Consider the following 20,951-nt stretch of genomic DNA (forward strand, 5'->3'; position numbering starts at 1 on the left):
ATCACTATCCATCTCATCAGAAAAATATTAAGAAGGTATCAAGCTCATAATAGATTTGAGTTTTCTAAAATTCTAATTTTCACTGGAAAGCACAAATTTTGTCATCTGCAGCAGCAAATGCTTTCCAGTTTTTTTCCTTCACATGACAGGCTCACTTCATTTTTTTTTTTTTTTTGAGGAAATATCTGTCACTTAAGTACATTAATCTCAAGACCACAGTTTATCATTCTTTCAAGTAAAAACAGTATTTGATGAAAATAGCATCTAGTTCAGCTTGCAACTCACAGAACTGCATAACTGAGGGAAAAAAGTGGTTTTTTAAAGACAATTCTTATTTTGATATGCAGCAAAAATGCTTTATTAAGGCATACTTCCCATTTCATCATAAATACTACTACAAAGATATGCAGTAGGAACTACAAACCAAAACCATAAAAAGATACCACTTCACACCCACTAGGATGGCTGTAATCAGAAAGATGGGCAATAATAAGGTTGGTGGCGCTAGAGAGAAATTGGGACTCTCAACACATTGCTGATGAGAATGTAAAACGGTATGGTCTCTTTGGAAAACCGGTTAAACCCAATTGCCATATAACCCAGCAATCCAGTCCCAGGTACATACCCAAAAGAAAACATTTCCACACAAAATACTACCTACACAAATGTTCACAGCAGCAATATTCATAATAGCCAAAAAGTGTAAACAACCTAAATGTCCACCAGTAGATAAATAAAATGTGGTATATCCATACAGTGGAACAGTATTCAGCCATATATAAAGAAATGAGGTAATGACACATACCATGACACAGATGAACCTTGAAAACATCATGCTAAATGAAAGAAACCAAACACCAAAGGCCACATATTGTACAATTACACTGATACGAAATAACTGGCAAATCTGAAGGGACAGAAAGTAGCATAGTGGTTGTCAGGGTCTGAGGGGAAGTGAATGATGAGTGACTGCTAAAGGGTATGGGTTTCCTTTTGAGGTAATAAAAATGCTCTGAAATTAGATAGTGATGATGGTTGTACAACTCTATGACCATAGTTACAACCAGTGAATTGTATAAAGAGTGAGTTTTACGGTATGTGAGTTATATCCCAATAAAGCTATTATTTTTTAAAAGACATGCAGCCCTCAAGGGTCAAGATTTAGTAAATATCTTTTCTTACTGGTTCATCGAGGTCATTCTTGAGTGAAACTGGGATTTTTCTTTAACTGCAAGTGCATGGTCATGAAGAATACAGCAACAACTATTACAGTTTGCTGTCACTGCCTTGATTTATGCTAAGACACAAGCAGTTTTATCCACCACCACTGAAAGTGTCAACACAGAGAACAAGGCAAACAATTTCTTAGTGCAGCTTGATGTGAAGGACCTCTGAGAGGGTCTCAGGGATATCCAATGGTCCACAGATCACATTTTAAGAACTACTGTTCTAGGCCAGGAGCAGAGCGGTGGCTCACGCCTGTAATCCCAGCACTTTGGGAGACCCACACCTGTAATCCCAGAACTTTGGGAGGCCCACACCTGTAATCCCAGCACTTTGGGAGGCCAAGACAGGCAGATCACTTGAGGTCAGGAGTTTGTGACCAGCCTGGCCAACATCTTTACTAAACCTCATCTTTACTAAAAATACAAAAATTAGCCGGATGTGGTGGTGTGCACCTGTAATCCCAGTTATTCAGGAGCTAATCCCAGTTACTCGAGAGGCTGAGGCACGAGAATTGCTTGAACCCAGAAGGCAGAGGTTGCAGTGAACCAAGATCACACCACTGCACTCCAGCCTGTGTGACAGAGCGAGACTCCATCTCAAAAAACAAAACAAAACAAAAAAAAAAACAACTACTGCTCTAAACCAGTTTCAGAAATCCTAATCCCAACCCCTAAAAAAAAATAATCACAGCTTCAGAAGGCTTAAATGCAATTAAAGGATTTCCAAATACGGATCTGAGGTTCTAAGACCATTTCAATTTTCTAAGCATGTATCACAAATTTATCAAAAGAAAAAAGGTAATCTTTAAATGGTGATGGGAGTTATGTCAATCAGTTCAGTTAAAGTGTCCCAATTTAAGAGTTTAGAATCACTGACCTGGTGAAAGAATGTTAGTAGTACAATCTCCACAGAAATCCAAATACAAAACAGAATTAAAGTAATAAAGTTCAGGATTTACTGCACAACAAAACATTCAATCAAATGTTATCTAGACAGACAACATTAATAGGGTAAAAATGACACTATCTCTTTTTAAACTTTATTATTTAATTCTTACACAACATTCAAAGAGCAGACTTCAGAAATGTCTACCCATACTATTGACAACTATTTCTAGCACAGCTAAGTTTAATGCCCACTATCACAGAATCAAAGAATTTTTGGTCTGGAAGGTCACCTAGACAGTTACCTAGTCCAACACCTCCATTTTACACAACAAGGAAACTGAGTTTGCGAAAGAAAAATAACTTGGTCAAAATCACACACCTAGCAAGTGGCTGAGGCATATTTACTCCCTGTACCATGTTTTCACTATACCAACCTGACTCCTCAACCAAATATAATGCATAAAAATTTTAATTCACATCACACTAAGGCCAACCAAGACACCCTACCTGCCAAATAAAAATTTTATAATGCCTGACAATATCAATCAGATGTCAAAACAAATATAAAATTAAGAAAAAACTATAAATGTTAATTGGCATAATAGAAACATGAATCCCTAACTTCAAAAACTACAAACTTTCAAAGAATAATTTGGAAGATACTTTGATGTCTACTTTCATACAAACATATTTTCATACAAACATTGATCATTAATTCTAATGTGAGTCTGATGCTGATAAATACCTAAAGCAAAAAATTTCCCTCTATGTATTATCACTGAACTTATTTATGGCATGACATAACTTAAGACTCACCTGCAGGACTGTCAGCATTCTCTCCTGGATGTAGCTGTATACCAGCAGAATCTATAGAGTTCACTGTAACTGTTTGTAGATTTGGCAACTGACCAGTGCTTAGACTAACTGGAGTTGAAGTGAAGGCTCCACCTGCCGCAACTTGACCAAGTGTGAGGGTTTGAACAGGCGTCAAAGTTATTTGTTGGGCAGCAGTATTCTGTATTTGCAAATTCTGCAAGTTCTGGACCCCTTGTACTTGAAACGTTTGCCAAGTTACCTGTCCAGAAGGGGTCACTGTCTGTGCCTGAATTAAAAAGGTTCCAGGATTCAGCTGCAACTGAAGATTTTGCAAAGCCTGTTGTGATATATTTTGACCACTGGCTTGCACACCATGGATTGTCTGTGGTGTAATACCTTGCACAATTTGGGCTTGACTGGTTGGCTGCTGAGACTCTTGAAGTTGTAGATGCTGTACAACAGGCTGTGCTGTAGAAACCTGAATATTCTGTGCCTGTGTCTCTTCAGAAACAGGCGACTGGATATAATTTCCCTGAAGATCTGAAGAATGAACCTGCCCACTAGATGTAGTCAAGCTATTTGTGTTTTGTTGTAATATACCTGTACTATCTATCGTAACAGGCAACTGTGATGAAGAGGATGTTGGCACAAATAAATCTGTATCAGTATTAGTTTCATTAATATCAGGAGAAACCCGCTCACCAGTCCTTTCTGAATTGTCTGAACTATCCATAGCTTGTCCTGTGTTTATCAAATGTCCGTCGGCATTAATGCCTGCAGTCATTGTCTGAGAACTGCCCGAGAGTCCCAAAGAATCTAGATCGACACTATTGATTGGTACAAACGTAATATTTCCTGGCAGACCAAGAGGCACATTAGCAACTACTTGGGTTTGACCAGGAAAAGATGAACCACCAATTGCAACTCCCTGAACCTGGACTTGACCAGTCTGTGGTATGAGATTCTGGATGTTAGCAGAAGGTGTTCCAGAGGCAAGTAAGGTTTGATTAGAGCCAGGAATGATCTGAATTTGACTGCTTTCTTGATTTATACCCCCATTATCTGAAGAGCCTGTGAAACCAATTTGAACCTGCTGACCATCTGCTGACTGGATCTGTGGTATCACTTGATATTGAACACTGGACACTGTACCATTTGATGAATCTGATCCTGGTGCAACGGAAAATATTTGTTGATTCTGCAAATTCTGAAGGGGAAGAACATACTGCCCACTTGAAGTAGCAGCACTTGGAATCTGGACTAGATTACCAGCTTCATCTTTTATAGTTGTAGGTGTGGCTGACAAAACCTCCCATCGGTTTGGTGCTCCTCCTAACTGTGCAGAAGCCAAATCACCTGTCTGGATGAAGAAAACAAAAAGGTGATATATTTGTGGTATATTTAAATCAACCCTCAAAAAATTCTAAAAACTGGTATAAATCCTACTACCTGAAAATTCAACTTATCTTAAAACACAATGGAGTTCAAATACAGGAGCAGTACTATATGAACTACAATAATTATCACTTCCAGTTTTGTTACTGCAAAGACAATTCATCCTATTTGAGTGGGATAAAAAAAATTCTCGGAATGTTCATCACAACCACAGACCAATTTTCTAATCCTGCATCTATGATCTCTAACACTACACAGTTAAAACACAAAACAAAACAGTGGAGATGGCTATGACCAAATCAGGTGCATTATATTTGTGTATAAAAAGGAAACATAAGCATAGTGTATTAAGTCATCCGACTTAGAAAAGATTTATTGCTATAAGCCTAAAATCAAACAATGAAATCTACTCTTTTGTGGCATCTATTAACATACTCTAAAGTAAACTCATGGCTAGGGCTATTCCATTAAGCTATCAAACTCTACTTTTTCCATGAACTAATGAAAAACAAAGACCTTAAAAAAACTTAATGAGAAAAAGTCATTGCCCTGTGACCACATGACAACGTAGCCCCATTTGAAAGGTTTCTCTAGGATCAGAAGCTGGAGGATACACACTGTGACTTTACTTACTAGTCTAAGTTTTCAGTAGAATGTCTGGCATATACCTTTTGTATTCTGGTGTATTAATACAATTTGAGGGAGAGAAAGATAATCTAGGGTTTCATTATATTCTCAATGGGAATCTCAATGGGACCATAAAAATCAGTTGAGACATACACAGTTCTCTCAACATAAACCATTCTATAAAACTTAATGCAAATATGATAAACAAAAAAATCTTAAGTTTCTTAAAGAAACTCACTACCTAATTTTCATGAAGACATAGTTGAGAAATATATACAGTTATTTCAGTGGATGAACCACAGTTAAATGACTGAATTCAAACATTTGAACGTAATTTACCAAGATGAAATACACACGTGAGTAAACCCATGACATACAATCCCAATCTTCAAACGGTTCACTGTCAATCCAAGCAGACATACACACATCCATGCTAATACAATGTGAAAAGTAGCACAGACTAGTCATATGATCAAAACACTCTGTGGAAGACACAAGATTGAAAAAAAAGATTTCATACAGAGATAAAGTAGTATTAGAATATAAGATTTTCCTGTAGTCAGTTAAAAAAGAGGCACTAATAAAAGCATAGAAACAATAAAATCACAAAAAGAAACCCTAAATAATAATATGCAGTTTGGAGTTGAAGAAAAGATCCCAAAAAGGCTCATATTCATAGAGGAAAGTAATGGGGAACAGGACTAGATATTTTTATCAACGCTTGTAAATGGCTTCACAGATCCCACTAAATTGTTTAGACTTTATCCTGTAGATAGTGAGTGAAAGCTATAAAAGGTTTATAAGCAAGTGAGTGGTGCAATCACATCTGTGTCTTATAAAGATAAACTAAGGCTCAATGAAGGAGACTGAAAGAAAGGGAGGAGACTAAAGGCTGAGAAATTGTGGAACCCAATACAAATCTCTAGGCCTGAACTATAAAATAGCGATCTGTCTTAAATACACTTAAATTATATTTACTAAACAATTTTAAAATGAAGCATCAGACATTAAAGTCACATGTCACTCTGCAACTTCAATCTGGTATAGAAATTACAATGTTAAGTCACCTTTCCTAACATTACAGTGACAAATGTTTCATTTCGGTCTCTTGGCATTTTAAGTAAACTACAAATATTTAAATCTATATACTAAAATCTACACTAAAGTGTGTCTAAAATCTAACCTTTATCTTCTTAAGGTTATTGCTCACCTGGAGGATCCACTGAAATTTTTTCTGACCAGCATAAAATTTACAGGTATTGAACTTTTATCAAAGAATATAGTAACTCAGACACAAATTAATTTTATGATACTGGCATTTTGTCCCTTTTCCTTTCTTTAAAAAAAACAAAGTCAAATTTACAGCACCTAAAGTGTTTTTTTTTTTTTTTTACAAAATAGTAATAAAGGCAGATATTCAACCATCACTGAACAGCTTTCTAGTCAAGAAATTCCTTGAAAATAAATACAGCTAACGCAAATGACAAATCTGAGTAAATATTGCCCAAGTCATCCCCTCTCCAGAAGCTAGATAAAAATAAACTGTAGTGCCATTTTTCTCAGCAATTCAGGCCATTAATTGAAGGAAAATCTCTAAACCTAGAGCAAAGTGATGTATTCCGAACTTTTCTGAATAAGCCTGAAATGAAAAGCATTATTAAAATACCTGTGAAGCACAACGATGGGGGAAAAAAAAAAAAAGCAACAGGTAATTTAAGGAAAAGAATCAAGCAAGAAAAGGAACTTTTTTAATTTAATAAATTTGCAGTTTTAAAAAAATTTGCTGAATACCCTATTTTCTAAATGGAATGGAAAAAACACATTGAATCAGAAAACTACTAGATGATTTATGCCAAAACTACACTCGACAATATATTACACAAGAAAAAAAAAAAAGCTCAGAACTGAGTTCTAGTTCTGGCTACACTGTGGAATTGTGTGAGTTACAGCAACTCAATTTTCTCATGTCAACAACCGGAAAAACATTACCTTGCAGGGGCATAAGAATCAGAAGAAAAATATTAAATTTTATAAACTATTGAGCACTGTGCAATCCCAAGATCATTGTGAGTGCTAAGATTATGAGAATAGATTTGAAAAACATCCATTAAAATTAGCCTAGCACAATTCCTGGCACTCAGTAAGATCAATATATATTTACTGAATGAAAAGTTATTTTACTTTAAAATCATTGCAAACACAATGACAGAATGGATCAAAACAAATTTTGAGGTATTAAGAGCCTTCTATGAAAAAGTCTAAACCAATTTTAAGCCTATTTATTTCCACAATTCCACAATGAATCAGCTCCAAATATTTCAAAACTACAAAGCCTTGCAAAGCACAATCAAATTTCTTTGTAAAAGAAATTTCATCAGCAATATACCACTAAAAGAGATAAAGTACACTAAATACCAAATGGGAGAGGAATAAATTAGAAAATCATCTGAGACCAAAAAAAAAAAAAAGTTTGAAAAATGTTTGATGTTAGACTACTGGAAACACTACAGAAACAAAAGAATAAAAGGAGATTTAAAAACGTACAACCGTGACAGGGCCGGTGGCTCACGCCTGTAATCCTAGCACTGTGGGAGGCTGAGGCGGGCAGATCACTTGAGGTCAGGAGTTTGAGACCCGTCTGACCAACATGATGAAACCCCGCCTCTACTAAAAAGACAAAAATTAGCCGGGCATGGTGTACATCTGTAGTCCCAGCTACTCTGGGACTCTGGGGCTGTAGTCCCAGCTACTCTGGGGGCTGAGGCGGAAGAATGGCTTGGGCCTGGAAGGCGGAGATTGCAGTGAGCCGAGATTCCGCCACCGCACTCCAGCCTGAGTGACAGGGCGAGACTCAGTCTCAAAAAAATAAAAATAAAAATAAAAAAAATTAAAACAGGCAACCAAGACGAGAACTAGTATTTGGTTTAGAAGCAAGATAATCCTCTACATAACCTATGTCTACGTAAGTTTACAAACCAAATTAAAAATCCACCAGTGTTTCTCTCAGTACCTTTCTTACCGGACAATTAACAAACAAAACCTAGGCAGGTGGATCCTTTGAGTCTAGGAGTTCAAGACCAGCCTAGGCAACATGGCGAAGCCCCATCTCTACAAAAAATACAAAAATTAGCCAGGCGTGGTGGCACGTGCCTGTAGTCTCAGCTACTAGGGAGGCTGAGGTGGGAGGATCAACTGAGCCCCAGTGGTTGAGGCTGCAGTGAGTTGTAATCACACACCTCCATTCCAGCCTGGGAGACAAAGCGAGCCTTTCTCAAAAAACAAACAAAACACCATCTAACATGAATGTTGGCATTAGTACAGTAAAAAGTTGTAACTAAGGCACTCTAAGTCTCTCTACATACAAATATACCGGTGGAAACGGAAAAAGAAAAAATTCACACCACCTATTGCATAGCATTTGGAAATGATTATTAACTTAGTTCCCACGAATGCCTTTACGAAAGCCAGAAATAGGAAAGGAAGGAGTATAACTGGAAACAAGAACAGGTGTGAAGCTGAGGTGGAAACAAATTAAGAACTTAGGCAAATATTCAAGTTTCTTAAAATCTTCAAAGAGCACTAAAAGAACTCAGACTTCAAATAGAATTACCCTACCCAATGAATTAGTTACAATGACAGCACAGGTCTTATTTTAAATAATGGCAAAATAACTTTTTTGAAGTAAGCTATTACTTATTTTTTAGCTCAACATTTATGTGCCAAATTAAGGAACACTAAATTTACAACCTAAACCAAAGATCAAGCAATCACTTTCATAATAGTCACTTATTTTAGGCCAGGCGCAGTGGCTTACGCCTGTAATCCCAGCACTTTGGGAGGCCAAGGTGGGCAGATCATGAGGTCAGGAGATCGAGACCATCCTGGCTAACACGGTGAAACCCTGTCTCCACTAAAAATACAAAAAAAAAAAATTAGCCGGGCATGGTGGCACACGCCTGTCGTCCCAGTTACTCGGGAGGCTGAGGCAGGAGAATGCTGTGAACCCAGGAAGCAGAGCCTGCAGTGAGCCGAGATCGCGCCACTGCACTCCAGTCTGGGCGACAGAGTGAGACTCTGTCTCAAAAAAATAAAAATAAAAATAAAAGTCACTTATTTTATTCCACTAAAGTAAAAATGAAGTAAATTAATAATCCACAAGTTCACATAAATGCAAACTGGTCAAAGTTAATACTTGCACAAAGGTCTACTTTTTTCTATTTCCTGGTTTACTACTAAAATTAGCCACAACTTAAGTACAAAGGAGCGTTGCTATAAAACCATCTTTCAGAGTCCATGTTGTACGACATTATATACGAGACTGCTTTATGACTAGACTTCTTCAGCAATGTACTGTGGGTAACCAAACACCCTTGGCTAGGATCCTCTTTTATGACAAATTCCAAATTCAAAATCCAAATATTAAAAGCAATCTTCAGCACAGTTGATTGGCTTTTCAAGGCCCTTTTAATCTCAAAATACCAAGCTAAACTGGCATAAAGTTCATCTGTATGTGTATATTTCCACTTGTTTAAACACAACAATATATATGCAATGTGGAATCCTGGACTGGATCCCAGAAGAGAAAATGGACATTAGTGGAAAAGCTGGTGAAACGCAAACAAAGTCTGGTTAGTAATGTCATACCAATGTTCATGTCTTAATTTGGACAAATGTATCATCATTATCCTAACATTAGGGGAAGCTGGATGAAGGGTATGAGATTACTCAGTTCTGTATTTCCAACTTTTCTATAAATTTAAAATTATTCCAAAATACAATTATTTAAAAACACAGCTATAACCTCTCATAATTCCCAGTCATTTGAGTAATAAAAGATTATCTAAGCCCATGAACTCATGTGAATTTCCTTTTCTAAGATGTGCTGAAAAGATGTCTTAAGTTCATATTTGCACTGGAAAAATAAATTTTTAGCAAATTTTCTATTTGCTAAGGCAAATACACACAAGCCAGTCTTACCAATTTTACTCAAAGTGAAAAATCTTGGGTGCAGGTACCAGACATCATAAATATATGGTTTGGGTTTTTTTTTTTTTTTTTTTTTTTTTAGGCAAAACTATTTTCATTTTACTATGATTGGCAAATTATGATGTATTTGATTGATAAATCTCAGATTTATCAGATTGATTCTAGTTCGTCTTCATGTGGCAGAATATGTGTTGTCAGGAGTGATTTGGTAATTCAGAAAAGCAGCTGAAGAAGCATGGAAACTTCCCTACAAGTATATGGCCACAGCTGGCTAAGGTTGGAGACAGTATTCTATCCTTGGGCCTCAGACTCACATATGTATGTACATACACATATTATTCACCCATATTTCCTTCCTTCTCCCCTCCCCCATCTGTAAACTGATATCTAAACTTTACAAATTACAGTTACAAGAAAAGTTTTGTTCCATTTGAAATACAAAAAAGATCAGGAGAAGCAATCTGCTTTTTAATTTTACTTATGCAGTAGTTTTTTAAGATACAGTCAATTTGTTTTGGCACTTTGGAACTAGAGGGATACAGTTCATAAAAAAATCTACCAACTCTCAGCGAAGCTGAAATGAGGTGAACAGAAGGCGTACCAATCCATAAATGTATTTAAAAATAACAAAGCCTAATATAATTTTACATTTTTACATGTTAATCTGCTTATGAAAAAACAAGACATTAAAACTATTCACATCCCCTATAACGAAGCACTAAAATTACAAATTATTTACCAGTAATAGCTTAACATTGGTTTAACTTAAAAAAAAAAAATACCTGGACATACTAAGCATTTGTTGTAGACTATACCAAATACCAAACTTCTGTCTTCAGTGACTATTGAAAGTATCACTCCACAAATCAATTCCTATGATCCACCACACACACACACTCAAATGAGGGTTTTCATTATTTTAATAGGTGAACAAATCTACACAACAGTGATGACCCAAATGTAAAATTCACAATTAACAGTCTAAAAACTGTTCCTATCCTATTGGTATTAACCCCTCATATAACACAGGCGAGCTCCTCCCCTTGCCCAGACACTGAAAACACTACAGAAAGAATCCCACCATATCTTACCTGACTAGCAGTCGTAATAAAATGAAAACATACTTTTGCCAACCAAATTCAGCTATAAGTATTGTACTACTAGTATGCACGTAAATACAATTCCTTACACATACTTTTCTAACACTGTTATATTCAGTTTCAAAATCTAAAGTACTATCTAAGCAACTTGCTGATTTCAAAGGCTGCTAAATGTTTCATTTACCCCCCTTACAAAAAAAAAGTCACTGCAAATTTTAGTAGTCTGCAAAAACTAAAATTCAACGATTTTGAATGGTCAACTAAAAAAGCAGTCTTCACTCCTGCATACAAAAGGGTAATTCAAAGAATAAACCCTCATTTTTTTTAATAATGTATGATTTAAAGCAGTAAGATCCTGTAACGTCCAACAGAAAATGCTCCAGGTTCAAAAATAATAAAAACTAAAGACATTGCCTCTAGTTGATACTATCTATGGCCGATAGGCTGTGCTTGAAAATTTTGTAGTGTTAAGCGAAGGAGTTTTCAGCACTGATATGAATTGCTCAAACATCCATTTTGGAGTCCTCTACCCCCGCCCTCTCAGACTTCATTTTGTGAAGATTTTGCGCGAGGTGCTGCAGTGACAATTTCGAGAAAGCCTGGGCTGGCTTCAGATCCAAACCGGGATGCGAAAGAGCAGGAAAGGGCGCCCTGGAGCCCAGCGGCCCGTGCGGGTCGGGGGAAGCGCGGGCGCCGGGGAGGCCTTTTGGGCAGGCGCGCCACGGGTCCGGGATGGCGGGCGCCCGGCCTCGGCGGGGGCGGGCCGCGCGCGGGACTTACCGCTCCGGCGGCGGCGGGGGCCCCGGCTGCGGCGGCCGCCTCCTCCTCGTCGTCGCCCGGCGATGGCGGCCCTATCTTGCTGCAGGTAGCGGCCAGCAGAGCGAGCGGTGACGGCTGAGTGTCCTACCCCCAATGGGCGGGTTCAGAGAGGGAGACAGGGGGAGGGGGTGGCGGTTAGGGTCGGGCCGCCTTTCGCACAGGAAGTACGACTCGGTCCCCGCCGACTGCGCCCGGGCAAGCGCCAGCCCGCGCTCTCCTCCTCCTCCTCCTCCTCCTCCTGGTCCCGCCGCCAGCCCACGCCTGGCGTCCCCCGCTCCAAGCACCCCGGCTCCCCGGTCCGCGGGCAGGCGGGCGGCGGGCTGCGCGCCGGGCCTCCGCCTTCCGCCCGGAACCCACCCCCGGGAGGGCACGCTGGGGCCCACACTCACACGCGCACAAAAAGGCGGCAGGCGGGCGAGGCGGGGCGGCGCGGGCGGGGTCGGAGCGTTGGCGCCTCGGGCGGGCAGCTCCCGGGGCGGGGGGAGGGGAGTGGAGGGGAGGGGAGAGACGAGGAGGGAGGGGTGAGGCGAGGAGGGAGGGGAGAGGCGAGGGGAGGAGAAAGCGGCGCGAGGGGGGAGCCGGGCCGGGGTTCAGCCGCTCCTCACCTGGGCCGCCGCTGCCGCCGCCACCGCACCGTTTCCGTGCTGTTGCTGCTGCTGCAGATACTCGCCGTGGCCGCCGCCGCCGCCACCGCCGCCGCCGCTATCCACGTCCAAGGCAGCCATTTCCTCTTGTTTCACGGGCTTTTCGGGAGCTGCAGGCACAGCGCGGGGGGGTGGGGGTGGGGAGGAAGGCGGGTGGCGGAGAGGGAGGGGGCCCGCGGGCCGAAGCGAAATTACTCCCAAAGCCCGGACCCAGGCCCCTTCCCCTCCCCCACCCGCCCCCCGGCGGCGGCGGCGGCGGCGGCTCCCTCCTCCCCTCCTGCTGCTGCCCCCGCCCGCCGCTGCCTGTAACCCTCCTCCTCCTCCTCTTTCCCTCCTCCTCCTCCTCCCCGCGCTGCCCCTGCCCCCTCTCCTCTCCTCCCCTTTCCCTTCGCGCCGCTCGCTCTCACTCGCGCTCGCTCCTCTCGCACCGTCAGTCACTCACACACGCCCGCCCGCGCCCGCACACAGGGGGATGCGCTCCCGGCGGACCGGGCCGCCCGCCCCGGGGCCTGGCGGGGAGACGGCGTTGCTGGGGCTTCGGGGGTGGACGGTGGCTGGCGGGGAGGGGAGGGAGGCGCAGGGGAGTGCAGCTTTCTGCCTCTCACAGACACTCGGTCGCACACACGGGGCCGAGACCGGCGGCAGCGGCCCCGGGCTGGCTGTGGTCGGCGGCAGCGGCGGCGGCGGCAGCAGCAAGGGTTGCTCTCTCGGCTTTACGTACCGGTCATAGTGTGTTTAGGGCACCTCAGGCGGGGCTCCCCGCCGCCTTACACATGGTGAGGAGCGAAGGCGGCGGCGGCGGGAGAGGATGCGGGAAGCGGCGGCGGACACGGCCGGAGCGGTCCGGGGATTTTTTTTTCCTATTTTGATTGACTGTGCGGGAAACACAAAAGGTGGAGCCTCCAGCCCAAAAGGGGGGAAGAGGGTGACAGCCCGCCCGGAACTCCCGCCCCTCTTCTTGGCTCTCATTCGCCGCCGTGCTCTTTGTCGGCTGTGCTCATTGGTCCAGGCGCCTGTCCGTCGGTCTGCCAGGCGGCGCGCTTCCTGTTTGCCCCCGGGTGGAAGGGGAGAGACAATGAGCGGCCGTGGCAGCGTAGGTTTTCGAGAGCGGCTACGGCTCGCCGGTTACCCCGCTGTGCCCGCCTCCCTCGCCGGCTGCCGCTGCCAGGCCCGAGGCGCAGGCCTCCTCCACCTTGCAGGCGCTCGGAGCAGGCCTAGCCAAGCTGTAGGGGAGCTGAGCTGGGGAGGAAATTCGTCCCCGGTGACTCCTGCTCCACTGGACGCTTCCTCCATCCCGGCAGCAGTCTTGGCCGGATCTCCCCAGGGCCTCGCGCTCTTGGAGCCGCCGCTTCCCTGCGCTGCCAGGAGGCCACCGCTGCTCAGCCCCGGGGCTGCTGCTGCGGCCGCTGCCGCTACTGAGCAAACCAGACCCGCCCCACGAGCCCGGGGGGAGGGAGCTGGTATTAGGGGAGACACCCCCTCCGAGGCTGGAGGAGGATTTTTCTCTCTCACATCCAGCTTCCTGATTCAGTCACAGCCATCTCGCTCCCAGCCCCCTTAGCCCCAGTTTTCCAACCGGTCTCCCACTTTCACGTACCCTGAAGGCAGGCATTTAAAGCAAAAAAGAAATCTCAAGTCACCTCACATACGGAAGGAGAGTTTTAATTTTGGCCAGTGGCACCAAAACGGGCACTTAAAAGTATATTTCATTTTACTTGTGGTATGTGTATGTATTCAGTGGGGCAGAATTCTGTGTTTTAAAAAATCGGTCACATAACCATTTTGCTGCACAAACGTATTATTCCCGGCCTCTTTATCCTCTTGGTACCAAGTCAGATATCTCCTGAAATAAGCCCATCAACCACTGCCAACGTTTTTTAAAGTCGTGAACCGGTGAACTACCTTTTTTCCCCCATTGGAACATTTTTGTTGTATTTTAAAATCTTGTTTCTCTTACTGGATTAGGTTAACACTCCTTCCTTCTTTGGCATCCTTGGTATCTTGCTGTCATCCTGGGGGAAAATGCTCAGGTTTTAAGTGTGTGTTTTGCCAACTAAGAGACATCTCTCCCTGTTACCTTCAAGTATAGTTGCCAAGAAAGAAGTTAAATTCAAGAGGTGGAAACACTGTCCACAATACCTGTTTTTTAGAAATCTGGCTCAAGATTCAGTTTTCCCATTACTGTGATTATTATATTTTGTGTGATATGTGATGTGCTGGTGGATGAGGTTGTGAAGTCCAAGCACTTTAACCAGATTTTGTGTGTCCTAACTTAATAGGTAATCCATTTGTGAGATACTGAGTTTACATCCCAGTTCCAAAGCACTTAACCGCCTATGCTGACAGGATCAGAAACATTGTATGGTTACTTTGCTCTTAATTGTACAAAGATCAAATTTCCAGGGAATTAACCTAAAAACCACAAACATGCGGAAACGAGACTCAAAATTCTGAGTCCAAGAATAGGGTTCATCTCTTCTAATAGTCCTTGTAGTCTCATATTTAAGTGGAAAAGTCACTTTCAAAGTTGAGTCGTATAACCTATGTACTATTTTACAACAAAAACTTTTAAGGAAATAAAAGTCACAAAATAACCTGATTTGGGGTGGGGAAAATGGAAAAAGAGATGGGTGCCTTGAAGAGCGGGACAGGTGAAAATAAGTGGACTGGGAGGGAGGAAGGGAAGTCACTATTATCACTCTGTTCCTACCCGGATCTCTTGGGTGGAAGGTAGCTCTTTCCCTAGAAAGGATATTTCAGGCATTTTCAGTTTTGTTTTGTTTTTTTTTTCAGGAGTGGGGATATGTTCTACGCTATCGCCATACCCTTTTTGCAAAGTGTTAGTCCAGCCACCTTGAGAGCAAAGTACTTGGCCACAGGAGTTAAATTCGTTTCTTCATTGATACCAATTGGCAAATGATATGAGACATGAATTGTCTTTTTTCTTTCTTTTTTGGGGGGTGGGGACGGCACGTCCGCAGACCATTTTGACAAGCAAAAAAAACACTTCTGAAAAAGAAAAAAATAGCCTAGCTGAGCGTGGTGGCTCACACCTGTAATCCCAGCACTTTGGGAGGCCAAGGCAGGCAGATCACTTGAGGTCAGAAGTTCGAGACCAGCCTGATTGCCATGGTGAAACCCCATCTCTACTTGAAATACAAAAATTAGCCAGGCTTGGTGGCGCACACGTGTAATCCCAGCTACTCAGGAGACTGAGACGGGAGAATCACTTGAACCTGGGAGGTGGAGGTTGCAGTGAGCCGAGATGGCACCACTGCGCTCCAGCAAGACTGAGACTGTCCCAAAAAAAAAAACCTACCTGAACTAACTATACTGCTTTTGATGCGATGCTTTTAAGAGATACATATGGAGGTAGGGTGACAGAGGTTGGTTAATTGGTACAAACATACAGTTAGATAGAAGGAATAAGTTCTAGTGTTCAATAGCACAGTAGGGTGACTATAGTAAATAGCAATATATTTTATATTCCAAAATAACTGGAAGGGAAGATTTGAAATGTTCCCAACACAAGAAATGACAAATGTTCAAGGTGACAGGGGAGAGGGGGCGGAAAAAAAATGTCCAAAGTGATAGATACCCTAAACACTCTGATTTGATCATTACAACACTGTATGCATGTATCAAAATACCACATGTACCCCATAAATATGTACAAATATGTATCCGTTTTTTAAATTTTTTAACAAAAGATGCATATACCAAAAGCATCACTCACTACTTTAGTCAGATTCAGAGAACCCTCTTAGACCACACTTGAGTTATTGTCATGGAATAGCTTTTTAAAATGGCTGGAAATGAAGATAGTCTCTTGAAAGAACACCTTTTCCTACCTATTTCAGTATTGTAGTCAAATCTTGAAATACAAATTTTTTTTTTCAATGGCATGGTCTCGGCTCACTGCAACCTCCGCCTCCCGGCTTCAAGTGATTCTCCTGCCTCAGCCTCCCCAGTAGCTGGGATCACGTAGCGCCCGCCAGCATGCCTGGCTAAGTTTTGTATTTTTAGTAAAGACAGGGTTTCACCATGTTGGCCAGGCTGGTCTTGAACTGCCGACCTTGTGATCCGCCCGCCTCTGCCTCCTAAAGTGCTGGGATTACAGGCATGAGCCCGGCCGAAATACAATTTAATTAAAATACTTATTTTCTTATTAGAAAGCTGCCTCTCAATGGCACCTACTGCTACATTTACATAGTAACCCAAAATTGCAGTTGCTTAGCAGGGAGAGAATCACAGTGCTGGATATTATTTATACTTTTTCTTCCAAAACGATTTGAGGAAGTACTGTGCTGGCCATTGTTTACATCATATTAGGAGATCTGGATGTCACTTTCTTTTCCCATATCCTCGATTTCCTCACTTTTTAAAATGTCATGTGTTTTTGTAAGTTTTCTTAAATCCTTTGGAAATGTGATGACGGTGAAAAATCCCTGAAGGCTTCTATACACCTGTTGGCATGGAATATTTTGCAACCCGTTTCTTCCCTACAAACAGAAGAGACAACTAAATACGGTTTGATCTACATCTGCAAGAGCCTAGCCATTCAGTATTAAAAAGTGATGGCCCTGGTTGACGGTACCACACCTGAAGACCTATGCCCTTTCCTTCACACTCCCTACTTCTGCATTTCTTCCCTCCTGAACGTCTATCAAGTGGACCATATGAAATTGCCAGTATTCAACTGTTTTTTATCTTAAAAGGTGACAATTCTATATCATTCAACCTAAATTAATGTCTCAAGAACATAACCTTTGTTTCTATTATTGTGACCTTACTTTTAACCATCCTAGAGCTCTTTAACCTGTTCACACTGGATTTCAAGGATCTTAAGTTGTTCTACTACATAATCACTATCACACTTCAGAAACATTTTAGTTTACATTAAATACACTTAACCCCCTCATATTTCATCTCTTCCTTTCTCAAAAATAGTAATAAATAACCTCAAGCCATTAAAGTGTGATGTCCTTAAATGAGGAGCAACAACCTTCAGCATGGAGTGTATTCATACTTTATGATTCAATTAGATAATAGAATTTGTTTATTTTCTTTGGTCATATAAACCAGACATAAACAACAACTAATCTCAAAAGAGTCAATGATACCCAAAGCCTAGTTAGAGAAGGTAAGAGAAAGGGGAAAAAAAAAATGATGTGGTTAGGAGAAGGTTGGATAGAACTGTAGAAAATATTGAAGGCAGCTTTTACCTGCTTTAAGGAACAGAATTTTTCGAGTTCCCCCTAAAATGGCTGAGTGCTGCACCATGTCATCACTCCATTCCAACCAAACAGCTGGAATAAAAAATGCAATTATACACACACATATATATGTATAATCTATACACACATAAGTATATATGTATAATATATGCATTAATATATAAACAGAACAATCCATAATTAATTAAAAGAGATGACCATCATGGATAAATCTCAATACTGTGTGAAAAAAGCCTGGTTATAGAAGAATAAATGTTATGCTACTACTGTATTTATATAAAGTTTTTAAATGTACCAAATTATATTCTATACTATATATGGATATATACATATGTAGTAACACTGTAATTGCAAAGGAATGGTGTGCTAAATTTAAAACGGTGATTACCCTTGGTATGAAGAGGAGAATGGCATTTGAATGAGTTTCCCATGGGCTTTGTTTACATTTGCAAATTTAACTTAAGCTAGGCTGAGTGTATTATTATTGTATTCTCTATATTGTTCTCCTTGCCTGAAATACTATGAGCATTATTTTAAACTAGAAAAAAAAAAAAGTAACTGATAGGAGAAGTACTGCAGTAAGTATGCCCAGGTAACTGATCAAAGGGCTGGAGGCAAAAGAGAATGATTCAAATATACTAAGTTTCCCAGCTTTTAGTAACTGGAAAGATGAACTGAAGTAAAGGATCTTAAAAGGGCATGAGTAAGTGGTGGGCCATTATGAGTTTGTTCTTAGATGTGCTGAGCTGGAGGTGCTAGCAGGACTTCCATGAGATGGATAGCCAACAGACTGTTGTCAAATTGAGTTTAGAGCCACAGAGAGAAGCAAGGGCAGGCTTGGGTTTGGGGACTCTTACCATCTTCACAGGCCTTTGTCCATTTGTCTTCAAACATAGCTATGTTTGAAGATAAACATTCCTTCCTATCTTTAAAAATCCTCCATGTGACTGTGGTTGTCCCTAGCTACTATCTTTTTTCTTTCCTCCCTTTCCTTGTCCAAAGTCTCAGTAACTTGCTGTCTTCCTACTGCCTTCCTAATATAATTCTACACCCAATTTCAGCATTTGACACTGTAAATATTTCCTTCTTAACACTCTCCCCTCCCTTGAACATTATCAGCTTTCTGGTTTTCTCTCAAATATATATTTCTCTGTATCTTTACAGTGCAGTCCCATAAAAAGCTACCTGTGGTGATGGAAATATTCTTTGTGTGCACTGCCTATTACCATAGCCACTAACCACATGTGACCATTAGGAACTTGGAAATGTGGCTAGTATGACTGAAGAACTGAAGGTTTTTTTATTTTAATTAAAGTTAAATGTGAATGGCCACATGTGGCTAGTGGCTATCAGACAGTGCTGCTTTAGGGTTTCTTTTGTTTTTGGTTCCCCGAGCTTTTCTTCAGAAGCTGGAAACACAGCATTCTGCAATGTCAGCCCTCATCTCCAAACTCACTCCCAAATCTCTATCTCCTGTCACCTGAGTTCTTGTTCTATATCCTTTTTTTTTTTTTTAAAGACAAAATTTCACTCTTGTCGCCCAGGGTGGAGTGCACTGGCATGATCTCAGCTCACTGCAACCTCCACCTCCTGGGTTCAAGCGATTCTCCTGCCTCAGCCTCCGGAGTAGCTGGGACCACAGGTGCACGCCACCATGCCCAGCTAATTTTTTTTGCATTTTTAGTAGAGACGGGGTTTCGTCATGTTGCCTAGGCTGGTCTCAAACTCCTGACTGCAAATGATCCACCCGCCTCGGCCTCCCAAAGTGCTGGGATTACAGGTGTGAGCCGCTGCACCCGGCCATGTTCTATATGTTTAAGCACTGTGAATTCCTCTTGAATGTCTCACTTTCACCTCAAACTCAGAATGTTCAAAACTAAACTCATAACTTTCTCTACACAACCAGCTCCTCCTCCCCTCTGATGCTTCTGTCTGTGACAGTGAGGCCATCATTCTCTCAGAAGCCCATACGGGAAATTACCTTTGACACATCTCCTCCCTTCCCTCTCCCATAGGCAGCCACTTACCAGATGCTGCCTGCCAAGTTTTCCTGCAGACACTCTCAGCTACCTGTTCATTGAAATCACATTTATTGAACCCTGCTCTACAAGATGCTGCATGGTCCCTATCCTCAAGGAGTGGATATCCAGTTAAGAAACAAAATATAGGGCTGGGCACGGTGGCTCACACCGGTAATCCCAGCACCTTGGGAGGCCAAGGCGGGTGGATTGGGAGGCCGAGGCAGATGGATCACGAGGTCAAGAGATGGAGACCGTATTGGCTAACACAGTGAAACCCCGTCTCTACTAAAAATACAAAAAAATTAGCTGGGCATGGTGGCGGGCACCTGTAGTCCCAGCTACTCAGGAGGCTGAGGCAGGAGAATGGCATGAACCTGGGAGGCGGAGCCTACAGTGAGCCGAGATCGTGTCACTGCACTCCAGCCTGGGCGACAGAGAGAGACTCAAAAAAAAAAAAAAGAAAATATAGGCCAGGCACAGTGATGCATGCCTCCCAGCACTTTGGGAGGCAAAGGCAGGAGGAACACTTGAGCCCAGGAGTTCAAGGCTAGCCTAGGCAACATACTGAGACCTCAACTCTACAAAATTTTTTTTTTAATTAGCCAGACATGGGGGTGCATGCCTGCAGTCCTAGCTACTTGGGAGGCTGCGATGGGAGGATTCCTTGAGCTCAGGAGGTCAAGGCTGCAGTGAGCCATGATTGCACCACTGCCCTCCATCCTGGGCCACAGAGCAAGTAGCAAAATGTAAACATACACAAATTCAAATAATAGAGAAGAGAAATAACAAAGCCTACAATACATCAGATGCTTTGCCAAAGGACTGCCTTCCGAATTCAGAAATCACTGGGGGGTCAGTCAGCTCCTTCTGGAAGGGATCAAAGCATGCTTTGCCCTGGCCCACTTCTGCTGCCCTAGACAGGCCTCCAGACTTTCCTGCTCCTTTCTGTTCTATATCTACCATCAAATTAATCTTCCTTAACCTGGCTCAAAAAACCTGAGTGATTCAAATGATCTAATGCATATCAGGTCATCTCTCCCAACTCCTCACTGTCCTGTAGTCACTCTAACCACAAAGTTTACTGGCCCTCTGCCACCAGGATTTTCCTTCTCCCCTCCCCATGCTTCAGTTCAAGTCTTAACCTCTTTCCATAAAGCCACTGCTGGCCAGGCGTGGTGGCTCACACCTATAA

General features: G+C 42.2%; 1 protein-coding gene across 3 annotated transcripts in view, besides 6 other annotated features; it reads right to left on the reverse strand.

The window, feature by feature from the left end:
* Positions 1-13,760, reverse strand: part of SP3 (Sp3 transcription factor) — a 64,928-nt gene extending 51,168 nt beyond the window's left edge. The window contains exons 1-4 of one of the 3 annotated variants that reach the window (NM_003111.5): positions 13,223-13,431; positions 12,463-12,611; positions 11,819-11,941; positions 2,931-4,290 (exon numbers count right to left, since the gene is read on the reverse strand). In NM_003111.5, the coding sequence (NP_003102.1) occupies positions 2,931-4,290; positions 11,819-11,941; positions 12,463-12,611; positions 13,223-13,229 (1,639 nt within the window). In that variant the 5' untranslated portion in view covers positions 13,230-13,431. Of the gene's footprint in view, positions 1-2,930; positions 4,291-11,818; positions 11,942-12,462; positions 12,612-13,222 lie in introns of those variants that run through there. The other 2 variants (NM_001172712.1, NM_001017371.5) reach the window with 2 other exon arrangements.
* Positions 11,122-11,945: an enhancer, noted in NCBI's record as "H3K27ac hESC enhancer chr2:174827792-174828615 (GRCh37/hg19 assembly coordinates)". NCBI's record gives its function as "activates a minimal SCP1, AML or CMV promoter by ChIP-STARR-seq in naive and primed H9 embryonic stem cells {active_cell/tissue: H9 hESC(naive and primed)}" and the evidence as "EXISTENCE:reporter gene assay evidence [ECO:0000049][PMID:30033119]".
* Positions 11,629-11,878: a silencer, noted in NCBI's record as "silent region_12118". NCBI's record gives its function as "represses an Ori minimal core promoter by ATAC-STARR-seq in GM12878 lymphoblastoid cells {active_cell/tissue: GM12878}" and the evidence as "EXISTENCE:reporter gene assay evidence [ECO:0000049][PMID:35858748]".
* Positions 11,946-12,768: an enhancer, noted in NCBI's record as "H3K27ac hESC enhancer chr2:174828616-174829438 (GRCh37/hg19 assembly coordinates)". NCBI's record gives its function as "activates a minimal SCP1, AML or CMV promoter by ChIP-STARR-seq in naive H9 embryonic stem cells {active_cell/tissue: H9 hESC(naive)}" and the evidence as "EXISTENCE:reporter gene assay evidence [ECO:0000049][PMID:30033119]".
* Positions 12,009-12,498: a silencer, noted in NCBI's record as "silent region_12119". NCBI's record gives its function as "represses an Ori minimal core promoter by ATAC-STARR-seq in GM12878 lymphoblastoid cells {active_cell/tissue: GM12878}" and the evidence as "EXISTENCE:reporter gene assay evidence [ECO:0000049][PMID:35858748]".
* Positions 12,829-13,108: a silencer, noted in NCBI's record as "silent region_12120". NCBI's record gives its function as "represses an Ori minimal core promoter by ATAC-STARR-seq in GM12878 lymphoblastoid cells {active_cell/tissue: GM12878}" and the evidence as "EXISTENCE:reporter gene assay evidence [ECO:0000049][PMID:35858748]".
* Positions 13,609-13,678: a silencer, noted in NCBI's record as "silent region_12121". NCBI's record gives its function as "represses an Ori minimal core promoter by ATAC-STARR-seq in GM12878 lymphoblastoid cells {active_cell/tissue: GM12878}" and the evidence as "EXISTENCE:reporter gene assay evidence [ECO:0000049][PMID:35858748]".

The sequence above is a fragment of the Homo sapiens genome, chromosome 2 (genome assembly GCF_000001405.40).
Source record: "Homo sapiens chromosome 2, GRCh38.p14 Primary Assembly".
Taxonomy (NCBI): Eukaryota; Metazoa; Chordata; class Mammalia; order Primates; family Hominidae; genus Homo; species Homo sapiens.